The sequence below is a fragment of the Homo sapiens genome, chromosome 18 (genome assembly GCF_000001405.40).
Source record: "Homo sapiens chromosome 18, GRCh38.p14 Primary Assembly".
In the NCBI taxonomy this organism is placed as follows: domain Eukaryota; kingdom Metazoa; phylum Chordata; class Mammalia; order Primates; family Hominidae; genus Homo; species Homo sapiens.
Window position 1 is genome coordinate 9312677 of NC_000018.10, and position 21793 is coordinate 9334469.

Consider the following 21793-nt stretch of genomic DNA (forward strand, 5'->3'; position numbering starts at 1 on the left):
AAAGACTCAAAAAGTAAAACAATGAAAATGCCACAAGAGGTGAAGGAAAGTGCCTGACAAAATTAAAAAATCACTCATGATAAAAATCACTCAGCAAACTAGAAATACAAGGTAACTTCCTCAACTTGCTAAAGGGCATCTAAAAATGACCTAGAGCTTACATTGTACTTATTAATGAAACACTAATATCTGATGGAACAGTTATTAACACTAATGAAACAGATAAAACACTAATGAAAGAAAGAGTATTCTTTCTCTCTAATATCAGAAATAAGGCAAGCATGTCTGCTCTCACAAGTTGTATTCAGCATTGAACTGGAGGTCCTAATTTGTTCCATAAGGCAATAAGAAGAAAAAGCAAGCATCAGGCCTAAAAGAAGAATAAAATTATCTTTATTCAAAGATGACAGGTCTCTTATATAGAAAATCCCAAGAAATTGGCTGGGCGCAGTGGCTGACACCTGTAATCTGAGCACGTTGGGAGGCCAAAGTGGTTCAGCTGATGTCAGCCTGGCCAACATGGCGAAACCTCATTTCTACTAAAAAAAAAATACAAAAATTAGCTGGGGGTGGTGGCATGCACCTGTAGTCCTGGCTACTCGGGATGCTGATGCAGGAGAATTGCTTGAACCTGGGAGGTGGAAGTTGCAGTGAGCCAAGATCATGCCACTGCACTCAAGCCTGGGTAACAGAGTGAGACTCCATCTCAAAAAAAAAAATCCTAAGAAATCCACCAAAAAAGCTACCAGAACTAATAACTGAGTTTAGCAGAGTTACAGGATACAAAAACCAATATACAAAAATGTCAATATACAAAAATCAATTGTATTTCTATATGATAGGAAGTCTTGGAAATTACAAATGAAAACAGCATCAACAATATGAAATAGGAAGTGTCTATTCATGTCCTTTGCCCACTTTTCAATGGTTTTTTTTTTCTTGTAAATTTGCTTAAGTTGTTTGTAGATGCTGGATATTACACCTTTGTCAGATGGATAGATTGCAAAAATTTTCTCCCATTCTGTAGGTTGTCTGTTCACTCTGATGATAGTTTCTTCTGCTGTGCAGAAGCTCTTTAGTTTAATTAGATCCCATTTGTGAATTTTTGCTTTTGTTAAAATTGTTTTTGGCAATTTCATCATAAAATCTTTGCCCATGCCTATGTGCTGAATGGTATTGTCTAGATTTTCTTCTAGGGATTTTATAGTTTTTGGTTTTATATTTGAGTCTTTAATCCATCTTGAGTTAATTTTTGTATAAGGTGTAAAGAAGGGGTCCAGTTTCAGTTTTTTGCGTATGGCTAGCCAGTTCTCCCAGCACCATTTATTAAATAGGGAATCCTTTCCCCATTGCTTGTTTTTGTCAGGTTTGTCGAAGATCAGATAATTGTAGATGGCAGTTTTATTCTGAGTTCTCTATTCTGTTCCATCGGCCAACAAACATGAAAAAAACTCAACATCACTGATCATCAGAGAAATGCAAATCAAAGCCATAATGAGATACCATCTTATGCCAGTCAGAACAGTGATTATTAAAAAGTCAAGAAACAACTGATGCTGGCGAGGTTGCGGAGAAATAGGAATGCTTTTACACTGTTGGTGGGACTGTAAATTAGTTCAACCATTGTGGGATACAGTGTGGTGATTCCTCAGAGATTTATAACTGGAAGTACCATTTGGCCTAGCAATCCCATTACTGGGTATGTATACCCAAAGGAATATAAATCATTCTATTATAAAGATACAAGCACATGTATGTTCATTGCAGCACTATTCACAATAGCAAAGACATGGAATCAACCCAAATGCCCATCGATGATAGACTGGATAAAGAAAATGTGGTACATATACATCATGGAATACTATGCAGCCATAAAAAGGAACGAGATAATGTCCTTTGCAGGGACGTGGATGAAGCTGGAAGCCATTATCCTCAGCAAACTATGCAGGAACAGAAAACCAAACACTGCATGTTCTCACTTATAAGTGGGAGCTGAACAGTGAGAACACATGGACACAGTGAGGGAAACAAAACACACTGGGGCTTGTTGGGGGAGGGCGGAGATGTGGAGAGCATCAGGAAAAACAGCTAATGCATACTGGGTAAAATACGTAGGTGATGGGTTTATCAGTGCAGCAAACCACCATGGCACATGTTTACCTATGTAACAAACCTGCACATCCTGCACATGTACCCTGGAACTTAAAATAAAATAATAAAAAAGAATATGAAATAAAAATGAACTCAAGAAAACTGTGCAAGTTCTATATCCTGAAACATAAAAAATAGTGCTGAGAGAAATTTGGAAATAAATGGAAAGATACACTATACTTACCTGTAATTCCAGCACTTTGGGAGGCTGAGGTGGGCAGATCACAAGGTCAGGAGTTCGAGACCAGCATGGCCAATATGGTGAAACCCCATCTCTACTAAAAATGCAAGACATTAGCCAGGTGTGGCGGTGCACGCCTGTAGTCCTAGCTACCTGGGAAGCCAAGGCAGGAAAATCACTTGAACCTGGTAGGTGGAGGTTGCAGTGAGCTGAGATCATACCACTGCACTCCAGCCTGGGTGACACAGCGAGACTCTGTCTCAAAAAAAAAAAAAAAAAGATATACCGTACTCATGGATTGAAAGACTCAATATTGTTAATATGTCAATCATAAGTTGTCTGACTGTACAATTCCAATCAATATAGAAAGTTGTCTGTACACAAATCAAATCAATATCCCAGCAGGGTTTTTTTTTTTTGTAGAATTTGACAAGGTGATTCTAAACTTTATATGAAAATGCAAATAATCTAGAATACCCTAAAATTTTTGCAAAAGGGTAAAGTTGGAGTATTTATATTACCTAATTTTGAGACTTCCTATAAAAGCAACAGTAATCAAGAGTATGGTAGTGGCATAAATATAGACACATATATTAGGGGAACTGACTAGAAATACAGAAATGGACCCACATATGTAGAGGCAACTGATTTTCAACAAAAGTGCCAATGAAATTCAATGGGGGGAGGGATAGTGCTTTCAGTAAATGGTCCTGTGACAAGTGAACAGCCATATGCAAAAATATAAACCTTTACCCTTACTTTACACCACATATGAGACATAACCTAAAATGGATCAAGATATCAGTTGTAAGGGTTGAAAGAATAATGCTTCTAAAAGAAAACAGGAAACAGCTGGGAATGGTGGCTCACGCCTGTAATCCCAGCATTTTGGGAGGCCAAGGTGGGTGGATCGCTTGAGCTCAGGAGTTCGAGACCAGCCAGGCCAATGTTGTGAAATCCCGTCCCTACTAAAAATATAAAAATTAGCCAGGCACGGTGGCATACATCTATAATCTCAGCTATTTGGGAGGCTGAGGCACAAGAATCGCTTGAACCTGGGAGGTGGAGGTTGCAGTGAGCTGAGATTGTGGCCACAACACTCCAGCCTGAAACACAGAATGAGATAAAAGAAAGAAAGAAAGAGAGAGAGAGAGAGGGAGGGAGGGAGGGGGGAAGGAGGGAGGGAGGTGAGGGAAAAGAAAAGAAAAGAGGAGAAAATTTTGTTTTGTTTTGGTTTTTTTTGAGATGGAGTTTCACTCTTGTTGCCCAGACTGAAGTGCAATGGCGCAATCTCGGCTCGCTGCAACCTCTGCCCCCCAGGTTCAAGTGATTCTCCTGCCTAAGCCTCCCGAGTAGCTGGGATTATAGGCTTGTACCACCAAGCCTGGCTAATTTTGTGTTTTTAGTAGAGACAAGGTTTCTCTATGTTGGTCAGGCTGGTCTCGAACTCCCGACCTCAGGTGATCCACCCACTTCAGCCTCCCAAAGTGCTGGGATTACAGGCATGAGCCACCGCGCCTGCTGAAAACAGGAGAAAATCTTAGTGACATTAAGTTAGACAAAGTTTCCTTAAGTGGGATAGAAAAAGCACAAACTGTAAAAGAAAAATTAACAGATTGGGCTTCATTAAAATTAAAAATTTATGTTCTTCAAAGACACTGTTAAGAAAATAAAAAATATAAGCCACATACTGGGAGAAAATATTTATAAAACATGTATCTGATAAAATACTTGATTCCAGAATACATAAATTCTTATAACTACAAAAACCAATAAATGGGCCAAAATTTGAACATACTTTACCTAAAAAGATGTATACATGGCAAACAAGCACATAAAAAGATGCTCAACATCATTGGTCATTAGGGAAATGCAAATTAAAATCATAATGACATACCACTATACACCCACTAGAATGGTTAAAATTAAGAAGACTGAAAATACCAACCATCAGTGAGAGTGTGGAGCAACTGGAACGCTCATACATTGCTGATAAAATGTAAAATGGTACAGTCACTTTGGAAATTCATTGACAGTTTCTTACAATATTAAACATATACTTACCATATGACCCGGCATTTCTACTCCAGGAAATTTACCCAGAAGAAAGGAAAACTTATGTTAACGTAAGGACTTGCATATTGTTTATAGCAACTTTATTTATAATAGTTAAAAATTGGAATGAACCCAAACGTCCATCAACTGATGAACGGATAAATAAACTGTATTCATACAATACCACTTAGCAATGAAAATGAATGAATTACTGATACATGCAACAATATGGATAAATCTCAAAGTCAGTATAATTATTGAAAGAAGTCAGACTCAAAAGACCACATAATAGAAAATTCCACTCATCTAATTTCCTAGAACAGGCAATATTACAGTGACAGACAGCAGATAATTAGTTGACAGGAAACAGATTGGGAGGAGGAACATAAGGCAACTCTGGAGGGATGGAAATATCCTGATTGTGTTTGTGGTTACACCACTGCATACATTTTTCAAAATTCTTCCAATTTTACACCCACCAAATTAATGTATTTCCTGTGGACTTCAATAACATTTATAAAACATAACAATGGTTTTTATTTTTGACAACCACCTTCTTCTTTCGATGTAATTGCTGATATTTGTCAATATTTTTTAGTTTATAATTCATATGGATAGAAAAAAGAATTTGCAATAACATCTTATATGTCTTTATTAGTCATGGCCTCCCTCCTAGCTCTGTCATTATTATTGGAATGGGAAATAGTCCTTTGAGCAGGCTGGCTGTGGGTGAGGGCACCTGGGGATAATGGTTAAACAACTGCCCACGTAGCCTTACCATCATCACTGAGGAGTAGTGTTGAATCCCACAGTTTTTCGCTAAGGGGACCAGGTCATTCTAGAGTTCAAGATGATTTATGTTTAAATCATCTGATTTTGTACATTAACAGCATGGAAGGCTGAGGATGGGGAAAGGAACAGTTTGTCCTGGAGAAAGCATCCAAAAGCTCTAATTATCTGAAATAAGTTAGCAAGCATAGCACCAGTAAAGTTTAATGAGTAAAAATTTGGTGAGCAAAAATACACTCTCCACATAGAGGCACATGTCAAGATCAAAGACAACAATGCCTAATCCAGAGGGGGTTAACAAATAGAAACTGGGAAACAGGTTAAGAATAATAGCCTAGGTGTCTTCTTGTGATTTTGTTGGTGGTGGTGGTTGGGATTGGAGGCTGACTGAAGCACAGGATCCCTGTCAGGGATCAGGAAGAACTAAGGAGGAGGGGATCCAATTTTAGAAGCCTTTGACAACAAAGCAGAAAAGAGCTGAAGGTTCTTGAACAAACTACCATGGCTTGGATCTGCGAGTAGGTAGGTTCCATGAGAACAGAAGTTTTGGTTGAATGCTAAATCTTCTTTGCCTAGAACAATGCCTGCACACACACGGAAGGCACTCATTTTATTTTTTGTGAATGTTAATGAATGATACAGCAATGCAGCAATGTCAGATATCTGGAATACTTTATTTTGAATAGATTTTCCTTTTCCTTCTTTTTGTATTTTTTCTTTTTAAAGGAAAAGAAGACTATTACAGTACTTACAAAGAAATTGTTAAAAGTTAAGAGTGTTTAAACATGTCTTTATTACCTACTAAAAAATATTTAAGTTTAAGAGCAGTGAACAAATAAATTGGTAATTGAATTTGTGGATCAGAGAAGAATCTTGGTGAAGGGCATTATTCATCTTTCCCAGTCACTTGTCAGATGGTGACTGCTCAAGGATCCCATCCCTGGTTTGTTTGTCGTCAAGTCCCCACCACTGAGTACAGTTGCTGGCACATCATAGGTGCTCAATGATGAGGTTTTTTGAGTTGTTTGTTTTTTTTAAGAGATGAGGTCTTGCACTGTCACCCAGGCTGGAGTGCAGTGGTACAATCACAGCTCACTGTAGCCTCAAACTCCTGGTCTCAAGCGATATTCCCACCTCAGCCTCCGGGTAACTGGGACTCCAGGCTTGCATCACCAGGTCCAGCTAATCACAAGTTATTGAGTGGTCTTCCAGATGGATTCCAGTCTAGAGATTAACTACTCTCAATGTTACCTCGCCAGGTGCAAAGCCTATGTAATAATATTTGATTTTAATTATAAATACACATACCTGACACATAAACTGTCCACCCTGAAACATAAAGAAACTTATTGTTAGATTATAGTTGAATCCAGCAAAGCATCCAAAAATAATTAGTGGCCAGTGTTGCTGGAACTCTAGTCCTGCAAGTGCTCCACAGATGATCTATAATAAAAGGTTCATTAGTAAATTAAGAGCTCTGAAAAGTTCTATTAAAAAGAAACCTATTCAATCCCTCTTTTTTCTAACTTTTTTCAAGCAACATCTAATCAGGTCTCTTGAAACTATGTTCTACAAAATAGTTTTTGAGACACACTGATTCATTATTGCCATCTTATCTGGCAGACCAGACCCAGAGCAGGCAACTGCAAAGGCAAGTTTTAAGTTATCTCTGAGCTGAGTTAATGAAAACAAAAACAAATAAAAAGGAACCATTACAAGAATTTCGGGTTTTGTGGGATGTGATAGATTGTATTTTCTAAAGTTGGCCATGACAATAAATTCCATTCCACATACTCTTCTAACAATGACACTCCTTTCATCTGGGTGAGGTTGGTAAAACAGAAATGGTACTATATGACTTCCAATGTTAGGTCATAAAAGGTAACACAGCTCAGGCTGGGCACAGTGGTTCACACCTGTAATCCCAGCACTTTGGGAGGCCAAAGGGGGCAGATCGCCTGAGGTCAGGGGTTCAAGACCAGCTGGGCAACATGATGAAACCTCATCTCTGCTAAAAATACAAAAATTAGCCGGGCGTGGTGGTGCATTCCTGTAATCCCAGGTACTCAGGGGGCTGAGACAGGAGAATGGCTTGAACCCAGGAAGCAGAGGTTGCAGTGAGCCAAGATCGTGCCACTGCACTCCAGCCTGGGCGATAGAGTGAGACTCCATCTTAAAAAAAAAAAAAAAAAAAAAAAAAGCTCCTAACTGGTTCTTCTGGGACATCCATGAGTCCTGAGCTGCCATATAAGCAGAAAAACCGCCCTGAAGCCACCATATTGGGAGGAAGCCCAAGGAGATGATTCAAGCCACCACCTGAGAGGACCCAAGACTACATGAAGCAAGAAGAATGCCCAGCCTATCCCCAGCTGCTGCAACTGCACACTTGCCCTCCCCCTTCCAGCTCCAGCCTCTGTCCACCAGCACCTGCATGAGAGATGCTGAGAAGAAACCCACCCAGCCAAGCCCTTCCTGAATTCCTGACCCACAAAACCCATGAGAGAATGAAAATGATTGTTGTTGTTGTTGTAGCCCACTGAGTTTTGGGGTAATTTGTTATGTAGCAACAGTAACTGGAATATGAGACATATGCACAAGGAAATTTTCTGAGATGATTTTGAAAGGTAAAGAAAGAGGACTGCATGCCACCTGGGCAGACAGTATTTATATCTAACTTAAGTTGAAATGCTACGAATTTCTGTATCACCAGTCCTATTACCAATGTTTTCTTTTTATGAGCTTAAATTATTTTCCAAGCCTGAGCAGTGTTAATGTATCTATTTGTAGAGATATTAATTAAAATACTTGAGCACCTATTTTGTGCCAGGCACCAGGCTCTATTATCCACGAATTGTCAGGTTCCCAGTATGGGGTATAACATCACCACGTTTTTATTCTGGTCTATACAGTGACTCAGGCTTAGAGATATAAAGAAAACAAGGCCACTACAGGTTTGGGAGCATTAACTATCATTCCGTCTCAGCCCGAAGCACTGATTATAACACGGTATCCTCAATTTGTAGTAAAAAATGGCAATTATCAGTCTGCCTCTGATTTAGATTTAAAAACAAAGTTAGAGCCAGCTGGCCTCTTGGTTCCCATAGCACTGTGTTCACACCTTTGTTGGAAAACTTGGTCACATTCTTTCATTTGTTATTTGTTTATGGCTATTTCTTTACAGCTCTCTCTCTCTTCTTGGTCTTGCTCCTCTTTGTATCTGTGCAATTAATAATTCAAACTTAAAGCCGTTGGAACTTTAGATTATTCTGAGCCTTGAGAGGAATGTGGCCATGTGGCCTGAGTCATGTGGCATGCAGCTGCAACTTCCGCCCTTTTTTCCTGTAAATAATTATGAAGACCAAATGGCGCCAGAGATAAGAACCCCCCTCAGACCATAATCCCTCCTCATGAAATAATAAAGTAATCTTCCTTGGAGTGTAGCAATCTGTAATCAATCAAATAGCTATGATGTATGCACTAGCCTCGTATGGAAAATGTCATAATCCAGCTGAAACTTCTTTGTCTCTGCCTACATGAGTGAAACTTTAACTTCTCCACTTTGGAATGCTGATCCCATTCATTTGGAGTCTGTTTCCCTGGGTGGCTGTTCTCAAGCTGTGTGCTCAAATAAACTATATACTTACTAATGTTTTCTAAATCTCATTATTTAAGTTTGACATATCTTTAGTGCCTAGCCCTGTGCTGGACACGTGGCTGTTGCTCCATGAATGTGTCAACACTCGGGGCCTGACCCCCACTGCTGTCTTAGAGTTTTGACTACAAAATACCCCCCACATCCCTGGGCAACCCCTAGCTTCCCTGGCTTCCCCTTCCTCAGCTGCCCCATGAGGAGGTAGGACTGTGTGACCCTACAGGCTCTTACGGTTCTCACATGGTTGGGAACTCTCTGTGAAAGGTCCTGCTGCTATGTTGTTGTTTAGATGATAGTGGGAGTCCCAGCAAGGCTCCGCTGCTGTTTCTGACCCTGCCTTGCCCAACCTGCAGGTCAGCCTGATGTTTGTGCTGTACTTGGAATCTCATCAAAGCCATTCCTTCTCTTCCCTGTTAAATGAATTTCAGTTGAAACTATTGTTAGTTGGCAAACGCCAGCATTTGGATTGGAGCCAGACAATCGCGCCCACTTTTCTTGGTGATAAAATGTCCAACATCACATTGCTGTAATCAGGGACATGACATGTGTGCACTTACCAAGCAAAATACTCAGAAGGGCTCATCATACAGTAACTGCAGATCCTAGAGTCTGCTCCATGCATGGAGAATGAGGGCCACCACATAACACCTGTGACAAAAGCAAAAGGTTAATCCAAGCAGCTGTCTCCATTGCTTTGCACCAGCTTATATTCATTCCATTGCCTTTTTCATTTTTTCCCCCATGTAGACCTGGGCTTCAAAAAAAATAATTAACTTGCAATGAGCTGAGAAACTGACCTTTAGAAAGGGGACAACGCAAGTGCACAGAATTGAGTAAACTGAGCCACATTGTTTTGGTGCCTCATAGAAAAGCTAAATGTCTCTGTATTGTACCCTATCTCTATTCAGGAATGCTTTCCTATTTTAAGCATGGTGCTAAGGATAGTAGATCGTACACCATGTAGGGGACCAAGAGTTGGTTTTCCTCCTACTTCTCTGACCACTGCCAAATCTTTACACGTGAGACTTCCTCAAGGCTTAGTTGTCTTGTCTTCTCTCTTTATATAACTCTTTCACGTTGGGGAGCTCACCTATTTCCAGGGCTTTCAGTGTCACTGATATTGTAGGCATCCCTAAATTTAAGTCACCAGCCCAAATCTCTCTGAGTGTCAAACCCCATAAGTGGCAACCTAATCGACACTTCCATGTGGACGCCTAATGAACATCTCAAACTTGCCATGACCCAGTCTCTTGATTTCCTCTCTGAAACCTGCTTTTTTCCCCTTCTTCCCCAATTCACCCAATGGCACCACCAACAATCAACACAGAAACCTAGGAGTCATCCTCAATCCTTCCTCTTTCTCTCCTTTACACCCTCCTGGTTCTGGTCTGTTACCTAGTCTCACTTCCACTCCAAAATATACATCATATCTGTCCATCTTCACAGCCATAACTCCAGCTGAAACCAGCCTTGTCTCAACAGCCTCACTGGTCTCCTTGCTCCACCCTCACCTACTTCAAATCTAGTTTCCACATCATAGCCAGGGTCAATCTTTTAAGAACATAAATGTACACATGCCACTTCCTGCTTTAAAACCTTCGGCAACTTCACGTTGCACTTAGAATCCTTCCCAGGGCTTCCAGAGTCTGCACGATCTGGTGACTCCTGTCTATCTTTTTAACCTCATTTCTTCTTTCTCATCTTAGAGACTTAATCCATGCTGTTGCCTCTGCCTGGAACTCTCCCTGGCTCTTGCTTCCATGTCGTCGCCACACAGATAGCTTCCCTATCACTCTATCTAAGTGAGGCTCTCCCTGTTATTCTCTCTCTTGGCATGCTGTTGACTTCCTTCAAAGAGCTCATCCTATTTTGTAATTATAGGCTTAGTTGTCTATCTGTTTATTACCTGTCTCCCTCCTCCCCCAATACACACTGAAATGTAAGCTCCAAAGTTCGGGTAGCATCTTCTTTATCATCATGACCAATATCATCATTACCATGGCAGCAGCTGACATTTCTTGAGAGCCTACTCTGTGCCAGACACTTGACATTATCTTATTTAATCCTCAAAACAATCATAACAAGTAGATACTATTATTATCTCCATTTTACAAATGAGGACACTGAGGCATGGAGATGCTTAGGTTACTTGTCCAGAATTACACGCTAGCAATAGATAGTGCCTGACATATAGTGCTTGGCATATAATAGATCTTCAACTTATTGATCAAATATATACTTTTGTTGAATAATTCAATGCACTTTTTCATGGGAACCCATGGGATAAATTTCTCTCAAACACCAGTATTAAGAAAAGTAATACTTCTAGTTTTATCCTACAAATACTGTGCATATTATAATATGTTGTGCTTTCTATCTTTGCCTTTACTGCTAGGATACTTAGAACCAATATGTTACACTCATCTGGATGAGTCACTCTGTGCCTCAATCTTATTAAGATCTTATTAAGAGAATCTTAACCTTATGCTCCCTTCTTGCTTGGCCTTTTCTATATTGTATGTGTTTTTGTAAGCCTCTCCAATCATTCATGGAATAAGGCAGGATACAAACATCCACCCACAAGGATGGCTACAATACAAAAAAACAGAAAAATAAGAATTGTTGGCAAGGATGCAGAGAGGAGCCTACATACGATGCCAGTGGGAATGGGAAAATGGTGCAGCTGCTGTGGAAAGCACTTTGGCAGTTCCTCAAAAAGCTGAACGTAGAATTACCATGTGACTCAGGAATCCTACTCCTAGGTATATACCCAAAGAAACTAAAAATAGGTGTTCAAGAAATGCAAAACAAAACCACAATGAGATATTGCCTCACTCCTGTTAGTGTGGAATTTGAGGTTACAGTGAGCCATGATCATGCCTGTGAATAGCCACTACACTCCAGCCTGGGCGGGACCCTCTCTCTAAAAAAATAAAAATAAAAATAAAAATGAGGCTTGCTGCAGTGGTTCATGCTGCAATCCCAGTACTTTGGAAGGCCTAGATGGGAGGATTGCATGAGCCCAGGAGTTTTAGACCAGCCCAGGAAACATTTCGAGACCCTGTCTCTACAAAAAATTTTCAAAAATTAGCTGCGCATGGTGGCATGCACCTGTAGTCCCAGCTACTCAGGAGGCTGAGGCAGGCGAATCACTTGAACCTAGGAATTCAAGGCCATTGTGAGCTATGACTGTGTCACTGCACTCCAGTCTGGATGACAGAGTGAGACCCTGTCTCAATTAAAAAAAAAAAGAAAGAAAGAAAAGAAAAGAAAGAAAGAAAATGTGACATATATACACCATGGAATACTATTCAGACATAAAAAAGAATTAAATCCTGTCATTTGCAACAACTTGGAGGAACCTGGACGACATTATGTTAAGTGAAATAAACCAGGTCCAGAAGACAAATCCCATATGATCTTTTCATATGTGGAATCTAAAAAGTTTGTTTCATAAAGTAGAGACTAGAGTTGTTGGGGGCAGTGGCTCATGCCTGTAAATCCCAGCACTTTGGGAGGCTGAGGCAGGCAGATTACCTGAGGTCGGGAATTCCAGACCAGCCTGGCCAACACGGTGAAACCCCATCTCTACTAAAAATACAAAAATTAGCCAGGCCTGGTGGCATGTGCCTGTAGTCCCAGCTACTCGGAAGGCTGAGGCAGGAGAATCACTTGAACCTGGGAGGCAGAGATTGCAGTGAGCCCAGATCATGCCATTGCACTCCAGCCTGGGTGACAGACCAAGACTCTGTCTCAAAAAAAAAAAAAAAAATAGTAAAAAGTAGAGAACTAGAATTGTGGTCAAAAATGTTGGTCAAAGGATATATAATTACAGTTAGGTAGGAGGAATAAGGGCAAGAAATCCAGTGTGACTATAGTTAATGATAATACATTGTATTCTTGAAAAATGCAAAGATGGTGGATGTTAAGTATTCTCACCACAAAAATGATAGCTGTGTGAGGTAGTTAATGCATTCACTAATTAGCTATATTTAACTACTCCACAATGTATATATACTTCAAAACATCTTGTTGTACATGATAAATACATACACTTTGATCTGTTAAAAAAAAAAACAACCAAATAGGTGTTCAAACAAAAACTTGTAAATGAGCATTCATAGCACACTACTATTCACAATTGCCAAAAGGCAGAAACAACTCAAATCTCCGTGAACTGATGAGTGGATAAACAAAATGTAGTATATATAAACATTGGAATATTATTCAGCTATTAAAAGGCATGAAATTTTGATAAATGCTACAACATGGAGGAATCTTGAAAACATTGTGCTAAGTGAAGAAGCCAGACACAAAAAGCCACATATTATATGATTCCATTTACATGAAATGTCCAGAATAGGCAAATCCCTAGAGACAGAGAGCAGATTAGTGGTTGCCAAGGGATGGGGGAGGAGGAATGAATGGGGAGTGCTGTTCAACGGGTACTGAGTTTCCTTTTGGGGTGATAAACACGTCCTGGAATATGATAGTGATGATGGTTGCTTAACATTGTGGCTGTATTAAATTGAACCACTAAATTGCTACTGAGTTGTATACTTTTAAATGGTTAGAATGGTAAATTTTATGATATGTAAACTTTATCATGCACACACAATGAGCATTAAGTCTATTGGGCACTTGGATGATCCCACTTGTGCACAGTAATGTGGCTTTGCCATCATGGACTGTGGTTGCCCTGGTGGCCTGCTGCAGGGAACTCAGGTCTCCTCCTAGCCAAACATCCTTCCATCATTACCCCTCCTTCACCTCCACTCCAACGTCTCCTTCCCCTCTGCCCCTTCCAGTTCAACCTTCCCTTCAGATCAAGCATAAGTCTCGAGGAAGCCTTCCTAATTATTCCAGCTTCACTGATTTCTGTTTTTCCTGATCTTTTAAAGTACCTATTAAGCTCTTGACTCTGCCTATGTAGTCTTCTCTTTTCATGAATGCTTTTACCTCCACCTCTTGACTACTGTCATCTTGGCTAATACAGGGAAGACCACAAGTCCTAGTCTCTGTGGATCCTCTAAGTACCTCAGCAACCCCTGCGCACAGTGACATGACACGTGAATGACACAATTCCTGCTCTGAGGAAGCATCTCAAATTAGCTGAAAAAACAAAACATATATACAATAGTAGTGAAAGGCCAGTGCAAATACATGCTTAGGAGCTCAGAGGCTGTTGGAGACTTCAGCTGGGAGGGCCCTTCATTTAATTGATTGATTCAATAACCATGGATTGAGCACTTGCTACGTGCCAGGCACTGTGTCGGCTCAGATGATATTTGATCTTTGAATTGGGTTTAAAGAGTGAGTAGAATTTGTGTTGCCAGAAAAAAGTAAGAATCTTGTCCCAAGCAAAAAGAAAAATGTGAAGAAATATAAGAGTGGAAAAGTGTGAAGTGTGAAAATAGACCAGCTTGGCCAATGGAGTGGAATTGTGTAACATCCAAAAGAATGATGCAGAACTACCTAGACTGGTATGGAAAGATGTCTTACATATCTACAGGCATACCTTGTTTTACTGAGCTTTGCTTTATTGTACTTTGCAGATATTATGTTTGTTATAAATTGAAGGTTTGTGGTAACCCTGTGTCAAGAAGTCCATCAGTGCCATTTTTCCAACAGCATGTGCTCACTTTGTGTCTCTAGGTCATATTTTGGTAATTCCTGCAATATTTCAAATTTTTCAGTATTATTTATCTGTAAAGATGACCTATGATCAGTGAGCTTTGATGCTGTAATTGTTTTGGGGTGCCACGAACACACCCATATAAGATGGTGAACTTGATTAATGAATATTGTGTGTTTGAGTGCTTCACTGACTGGCATTCCCCATCTCTCTCCCTCTCCTCAGGGCTTGCTATTTCCTGAGACACAACAATATTGAAATTAGGTCTGTTAATAACCCTACAAAGGCCTATAAGTGTTAAAGTAAAAGGAAGAATTGCAAGTATCTCACTTTAAATCAAAAGCTAGAAATGATTAAGCTTAGTGAGAAATATTATAAGCTGAGATAGTCTGAAAACTTGGCCTCTTGCAACAAACAGCCCAGTTGTGAGTGCAAAGGAAAAGTTCTTGAAGAACATTAAAAGTGCTACTCCCATAAAGACACAAACGATAAGAAAGCAAAGTAGCCTTATTGATAATATCGAAAAAGTTTGAGTGGTCTGGATAGAAGATTAAACCAGCCACAGCATTCCCTTAAGTCAAAGCCTAATCCAGAGCAAAGCCCTAACTCTCTTTAATTCTATGAAGGCTGAGAGAGGTGAGGAAGCTACAGAAGAAAAGTTTGATGCTGGCAGAGGTTGCTTCATTAGGTTTAAGGAAAGAAGCTGTCTCCATAACATAAAAGTGCAAGGTGAAACAGCAAGTGCTGATGCAGAAGCTACAGCAAGTGCTAATGCAGAAGCTGCAGCAAGTTATTCAGAAGACCTAGCTAAGATCATTGATGAAGGCTGCTACTCTAAACAACAGATTTTCAATGTAGACAAAACAGTCTTCTATTGGAAAAAGATGCCATCTAGGAGTAGCTAGGAATAGAAGTCAATGCCTGGCTTCGAATGTCAAAGGACAGGCTGACTCTCTTATTAGGGGATTGCAGCTGGTGACTTTAAGTTGAAGCCAGTGCTCACTGACCATTCCAGAAATTCTAGGGTCCTTAAGAATTATGCTAAATTTAGGCTAGGCATAGTGGCTCACACCTGTAATCCTAACATTTTGGGAGGCCAAAGTAGGAGGATCACCTGAGGCCAGGAGTTCAAGACCAGTCTGAGCAATATAGCAGGACCATATCTCTGCAAAAAATTTAAAAATTAACCAGGCATGGTGGCATGTTCCTGTAGTCCAAGCTACTCAGGAGGTTGAGGAGGGAGGATTGCCTGAGACCAGGAATTGGAGGCTGCAGTGAACCAAGATTGTGTACCACTGCGCTCTAGCCTGGGTGACAGAGAGAGAACCTATCTCTAAAAAAATTAAAATAATAATAATAAAATAATTAGACTAAATCTAGTCTGCTGTGCTCTAACAATGGAACAACAACAAAGCCTGGATGACAGCACACATTTGCTTATAGCATAGTTTACTGAATATTTTAAGCCCATTGTTGAGACCTACTGGTAAAAAAAAAAGAGTACTTTCAAAATATTACTGATTATTGACAATGCACCCAGTCATCCAAGAGTTCTGGTGGAGATGTACAAGGAAATTAATGTTTTCATGCTTGCTAATATGCTATTTATTCTGAAGCCCATGGATCAAGGAGTTATTTTAACTTTCAAGTCATTATTTCAGAAACACATTTAGTAAGGCTATCACTGCCATGCATAGTGATTCCTCTGATGGGTCTGGACAAAGTAAAATGAAAACCTAGAAAGGATTCACCATTCCAGATGCCATTAAAAACATTCGTGACTCATGGGAGGAGGTTAAAATATCAACATTTACAGGAGTTTGGAAGAAGTTGAGTACAACACTCATGGATGACTGTGAGAGGCTCAAGACTTCAGTACAGATGTGGTAGAAATAGCAAAAGGACAAGAATGATAAGTGAAACCTGAAAAAATGGAGCCTGCAATCTCATGATCAAATTTAAATGGATAACAAGTTGCTTCTTACGGATGAGCAAAGAAAGCAGTTTCTTGAAATGGTATCTACTCCTGGTGAAGATACTTAGAACATTATTGAAATGACAACAAATGATTTAGAATATCAGATAAACTTAGTTAATAAAACTGCAGCAGGGTTTGAGAGGATTGGCTCTCAACGTTTTGGAAGAAGTTCTTTTTGAGTAAAATGCTATAGGATAGCATTGCATGCTACAGAGAAATCTTTCACGAAAGGAAGAGTTGTTCAATATAGTAAACTCCATTGTTGTTTTATTTTAAGAAATTGCCACGGCCACCCCAACCTTCAGCAACCACCACCTGGATCAGTCAGCAGCCATCAAGATCCAAGCAAGAGCCTTCACCAGCAAAAAAATTACAATCCTCTGAAGGTTCAGATGATCTTTAGCATTTTTTTTTAGCAATAAAGTATATTTTAACTAAGGTATGTACATTTTTAACATAATGCTATTGTACACTTAATACATTCTTGTGTAAACATAACTTTTATATGCACCGGGACACAGAAAAATTCATGTGACTCACTTTATTGCAATATTTGCTTTATTGCAGTGGTCTGGAACTGAACACACAATATCTCCAAGGTATGGAGTGGAAAAAACAAATTTCAGTGCAGTGTGCTTAAGATAATTTCTTTTTGCAAATACATCTTAAGATATGTAACTAAAAAAAGAAAGCAGGGATATACCTGAAACTCTTGCTAGGAGTAATATCTAGGGGATGTGATGGCATGGGGTTCTCATTATGAAGTTCCATGGTTTTTGGATTTTCCCCAGCCAAGCATATATTGCTTCTGTAATGGCGGGGGTGGGGGGGTGGGGGGTGGAGGGGAGCTAAAATGAAAATTACTAAATATTTTAAATATATAAGCTATAGAGTTTGGGCCAAATTTGGTAGGCAACAATGAGCCAGATATAAATATTGGATTTTGTAAAGCCTTAGAGGTTTTTAAGAACATTTATAGATATCTCAATAGCTCTTGATAACCGTTTGCAAATATCTTTTGCTGAAAGAGCAGTATGGAGGGGCCTGCATGATTCCTTTCCCAGGATCTACCTGAGAATCCTACAGCCCCCAAGCCCCTGCACCTTACCTTTGCCTGGTGGATTAACAACTCCTTAATTGTAGAGGGAAGTACAGGGATTTCACAATTCAAAACAAAACAAACCAAAACCTCTGTGATAATTCCTGTATTTCTTCTTGTTTAAAACAGGAAGAGTGAGAGGTCTTTGGAAGTAATTCCTTTTCTTTCCTCATTCTTTTGACCCCTTTGCAGTAATTCCCCTAACAAGGCAGGGAGGGAGGAGGGAGGAGAGCAGAGGAGAGGAGGAGGCTTCTCCTCATATAGCCTTCCACCCCCAGCACATCTTCCCTCCCGCAAGAGCAGGCTCACGGGCTGAGAAAGTGTAGCTCACTTTATTCCAAATCTGTAAAACCAAATCAACTAACTCAATTGACTCACTCAAGTGGAAAGAGATAAGAATGGGCATATGGATTCTAAACCAGAATCCCAGCCTGCCACAGTCAGCTGATCATTCAGGGGAGACAGTGATTTTCCTGCCTCTGCTGGGCTGCAGAGCCTCATGCTGGAAAGCCTCCCTTCCTAGACTCCTCACCCTGACTCATGCAGGTTAGGGCTGGGGCCTGCCCTCCCGCCATATAGAACCAGCAATGTGGAGCTTAGAAGTGGGGAATACAGACCAATGGCAGCACTTAACCTGTCCTTCAACCTCTTTTCATTCCTTGTTCTCTGGGGTGGATTAGCTGGGGCAAAGGAAGGCCTAGAATTGAAAGGGTATAATCCACCAGCCCTGAGAAGTGAGTTCTAGATCAGAAGTTCACAAACTACAATTGTCCTTGTTATAACCCCATGGCAGGCAGAATAATGCATCCCACCAACCCCTAAAGACTTCTGTATCCTAACCTGTGAATATGTTGTCTTATATGGCAAAAGGGCCTTTGGAAATGTGTTTAAGCCAAGCATCTTGAGATAGGGAGATTATCCTGGATTATCCAGGTGGGCTGGACATAATCCCAAGGCATTGTAAAGAGGGGTGGGAAGGTCAGAGTCATAGAGGGAGTGTGACTGTGTTCGAAGAGTTGAGACAAAGAGTGAGAAAAAGAGGAGGGAGGTATTGATTTGAAGATGCTAAAGCTGCTGGACTTGAAATGGAGGGAGGACCACAAACCAAAGACTCTAGGTGGCCTCTAGAAGCTAGAAAGGCAAGACAATGGGTTCTCTCCTAGAGCTTACAGAAGGAACATAGCCCTGCTGACACCCTGATTTTAGAATTCCTGGCCTCCAGAACTGTAAAGTAATAAATTCATTTCATTTATTTATTTATTTATTTATTTTTTGAGACAGGGTCTCACTCCCATGCTCAAGTTGGAGTGCAGTGGTGTGATCACAGCCCACTGCAGCCTCAACCTCCCAGGATCAAGTGATCCTCCTACCTCAGCCTCCCAAGTAGCTGGGACCACTGGTGTATGCCACCACACCTGACTAATTTTTACTTTTTTTTTAGTAGAGTTGGAGTTGTGCCATGTTGCCCTGGCTAGTTTTGAACTCCTGGGCTCAAGGCATCCTCCCAACTTGGCTTCCCAAAGTGCTGGGATTACAGGTGTGAGCCACTTCGCCCTGTCAAATTTGTGTTGTTTTAAGCCACTAAACATGAGGTAATTTGGTAGAGCAGCTGTGGCTGGCTGAGAGACTCCACCCACTGACACATCTGTATCCGATTGAGGATTGGGAGTGAATCCTTTGAACTTTTCATTGAACCCTACTAAGAAGCTCTATCACATTGTTGTCAGACTCTCTCACTTGCAAAGATCAGAAAGTCTTCTGGTGAAATAAAATAGCCACTGCAGTGACCCCCGTGGCTCCCAGATTCCCAAATGGCCAACCATTTGAGATCCGGAACCACTTGATATTCACCTGAGGGCTCAACTACCATTTGACCTTCCAGGTCCTGTCAAAGAGGATCTTTAATTTAAATGAAAAATAACTGTGTTACTTTTCTTATTATCAAATTAATACAAGCAAAGACATCAGAAAATGCAGACAAGCAAAAAGAAAAAAACATCATTAACAACAGACAACACTCCATCTCACTGAGATAACCACTAATACCATCATTATCTTTCCAGCACTTTAAAAATAACTCTAGTCCGGGCACCGTGGCTTGCACCTGTAATCCCAGCACTTTGGGAGGCCGAGGTGGGCAGATCACCAGGTCAGGAGTTCAAGACCAGCCTGGCCAACATAGTGAAACCCCATCTCTACTAAAAATACAAAAAATTAGCCGGGCGTGGTGGTGTGCGCCTGTAATCTCAGCTACTCGGGAGGCTGAGGCAGAAGAATCTCATGAACTCGGGAGGCGGAGGTTGTAGTGAGCCGAGATGGCAGCGTTGCACTCCCGCCCAGGTGAAAGTACAAGACTCTGTCTCAAAAACAAACAAACAACAACAAAATTAATTATTCAAAAACTATGCAGTACTTTAAAATTTTTTATGTATCATGAATATCTCTAGTCGCAATATTCATCTGCAACACTAATTGTCATAGTGTGATCTGGGGCTGCTAGGGAGGGATCCCAAGACATTTTCAGGAGGTTGTGAGCTCAAAATTATTTTAATTTTAATTCTAAGGCATTATTTGACTTTTCACCCTCATTCTCTCACAAGCAGAAACTACATAATACATGATACTGCAACAGTTTGAATACAGAAGCAGATATAAAAACAGTGGCTATTAAGTTTGATGTTAAAGGCAATAGCAAAAATCTAAAACCACGCTGTTCTTCCTACTGTTTTAAAATATATACTTATTTTTCATTAAATATTTGTTATCATATAATGGGTTTGTTATTTTTAAATGAAATAATGAATATGTAAAAAATTGTTTTAATTTTGAAAGTATTAACAGATGTAGCACACATACACAAAACCTCTTTGGCATGCTCCATAATTTTCAGGAGTGTAAAGGGATTCCGAGACGAAAAAGTTTGAGAACCTCTGATCTGCGGTATCACTTTTTAATGGCTGAATTAGTGCATTGATCGGAAGTTTCCTAATTCACTTAACTAGTATATAATGCCAAGAATAAGATTCTTATACTTAAATTTGGGTATACCCTTAATTATTTCTCTAGGATAATTTTCAAGGATGATTTTTAAAACCCATATTTATTGTACAAAAGTGGGCTAACATCAGTAATGCAATCCACCCCCAGCCAATCAGCTGTTTTCATTCTGTTTCCTTCCAATCAACAAAGGTGGGTGGTAGGCATTTACGATTTACCAGCATAAGGGTTTGACACTAGGTCATCATTTCCAAGGGAAGGTGCCCCGCGGACGGTCTGGTCTAGCGGGCTCTAACTTAATCACCCTGGAATCTTCTTTAAAAAGCAAATTCCGGCCGGGCACTATGGTTCACACCTGTCATCCCAACGATTTAGGAGACCGCGGTGGGAGGATCGCTTGAGCCCCGAAATTTGAAACCAGCTTGGGCAACATAGCAAGACCTCCATATCTACAAAAAAATAAAATATTAGCCAGGCGTGGTGGTGCGCGCCCGTAGCCCCAGCTACTCGGGAGGCTGAGGCGGGAGGATTGCTTGAGCCTAGGAGGTGGAGGCTGCAGCGAGCCTGATGTTGTCACTGCCCTCCAGCCTGGTGAGAGTGAGACCTTGTCTCAAAAGAAAAAAAAAAAAAAGCAACCCAGAGTTGTGGGAAAGAACTGAGTGTCATTCTCAATGTTTTTAACCTACGTGCTAACCGCGCACCTTCTACCTAGGCTGCGCGACCTCCGCGCCCGGATCCATGGCGCCCCCTCTTCTCGACTCCCGATGCAGAGCTCCGATGCAGAGCTCAGCGCCAGCCACTCACAAGGAGCCTGGCAAGTTTTATCGAATTGGTGAACGAAGTTCGAAAGCTCTACCCTTGGAGATCCTTATTCAGTAGGTCTGAGGTAGACCTAGGAAACGCGCATTTTATATAAATCCTACCTCTGACGGCAAACGACAAGGGGTTCACGTGCCAGCTCTCCTCGGCGACGCGCTAGGCTACTCAGCGCCCCGAGCCTCGGCCTCGCATCGCTAGAACCCGGCCATGGCCGCTTCCTTACAGGGCAGCTGTGAGGAGTCCTGAGGAATTTTAGTACACGGCATATCCTCAGCGTAGTGGCTAGCACATCACAAGGCTTTAATCTTAACACTGTTGATCTTAACACTGCAACTGAGGGGGCCCGGAGAATGGGCCTGACAGGAGGGTCTGTCGGAACCTGAGGGACTGGGGATCCCGGTGCGGAGAAGCGCGAAGGGAAATCGCGTTGAGCAGCT

The 21793-nt window shown here is 40.8% G+C and overlaps 1 long non-coding RNA gene across 5 annotated transcripts; it reads right to left on the reverse strand.

The window, feature by feature from the left end:
* Positions 1-376: 376 nt before the first annotated feature.
* On the reverse strand, positions 377-21793 carry TWSG1-DT (TWSG1 divergent transcript). 5 transcript variants are annotated; one of them, NR_183519.1, is made up of 4 exons: positions 21461-21793; positions 9386-9476; positions 6485-6505; positions 5832-6400 (listed from the first exon to the last, which is right to left on the reverse strand). It is a non-coding gene; the product is annotated as a TWSG1 divergent transcript (long non-coding RNA). The 5 variants fall into 5 exon arrangements; NR_183523.1 differs by lacking the exons at positions 5832-6400; positions 6485-6505 and adding an exon at positions 377-2587; NR_183521.1 differs by lacking the exon at positions 6485-6505 and having other exon boundaries at positions 5832-6444.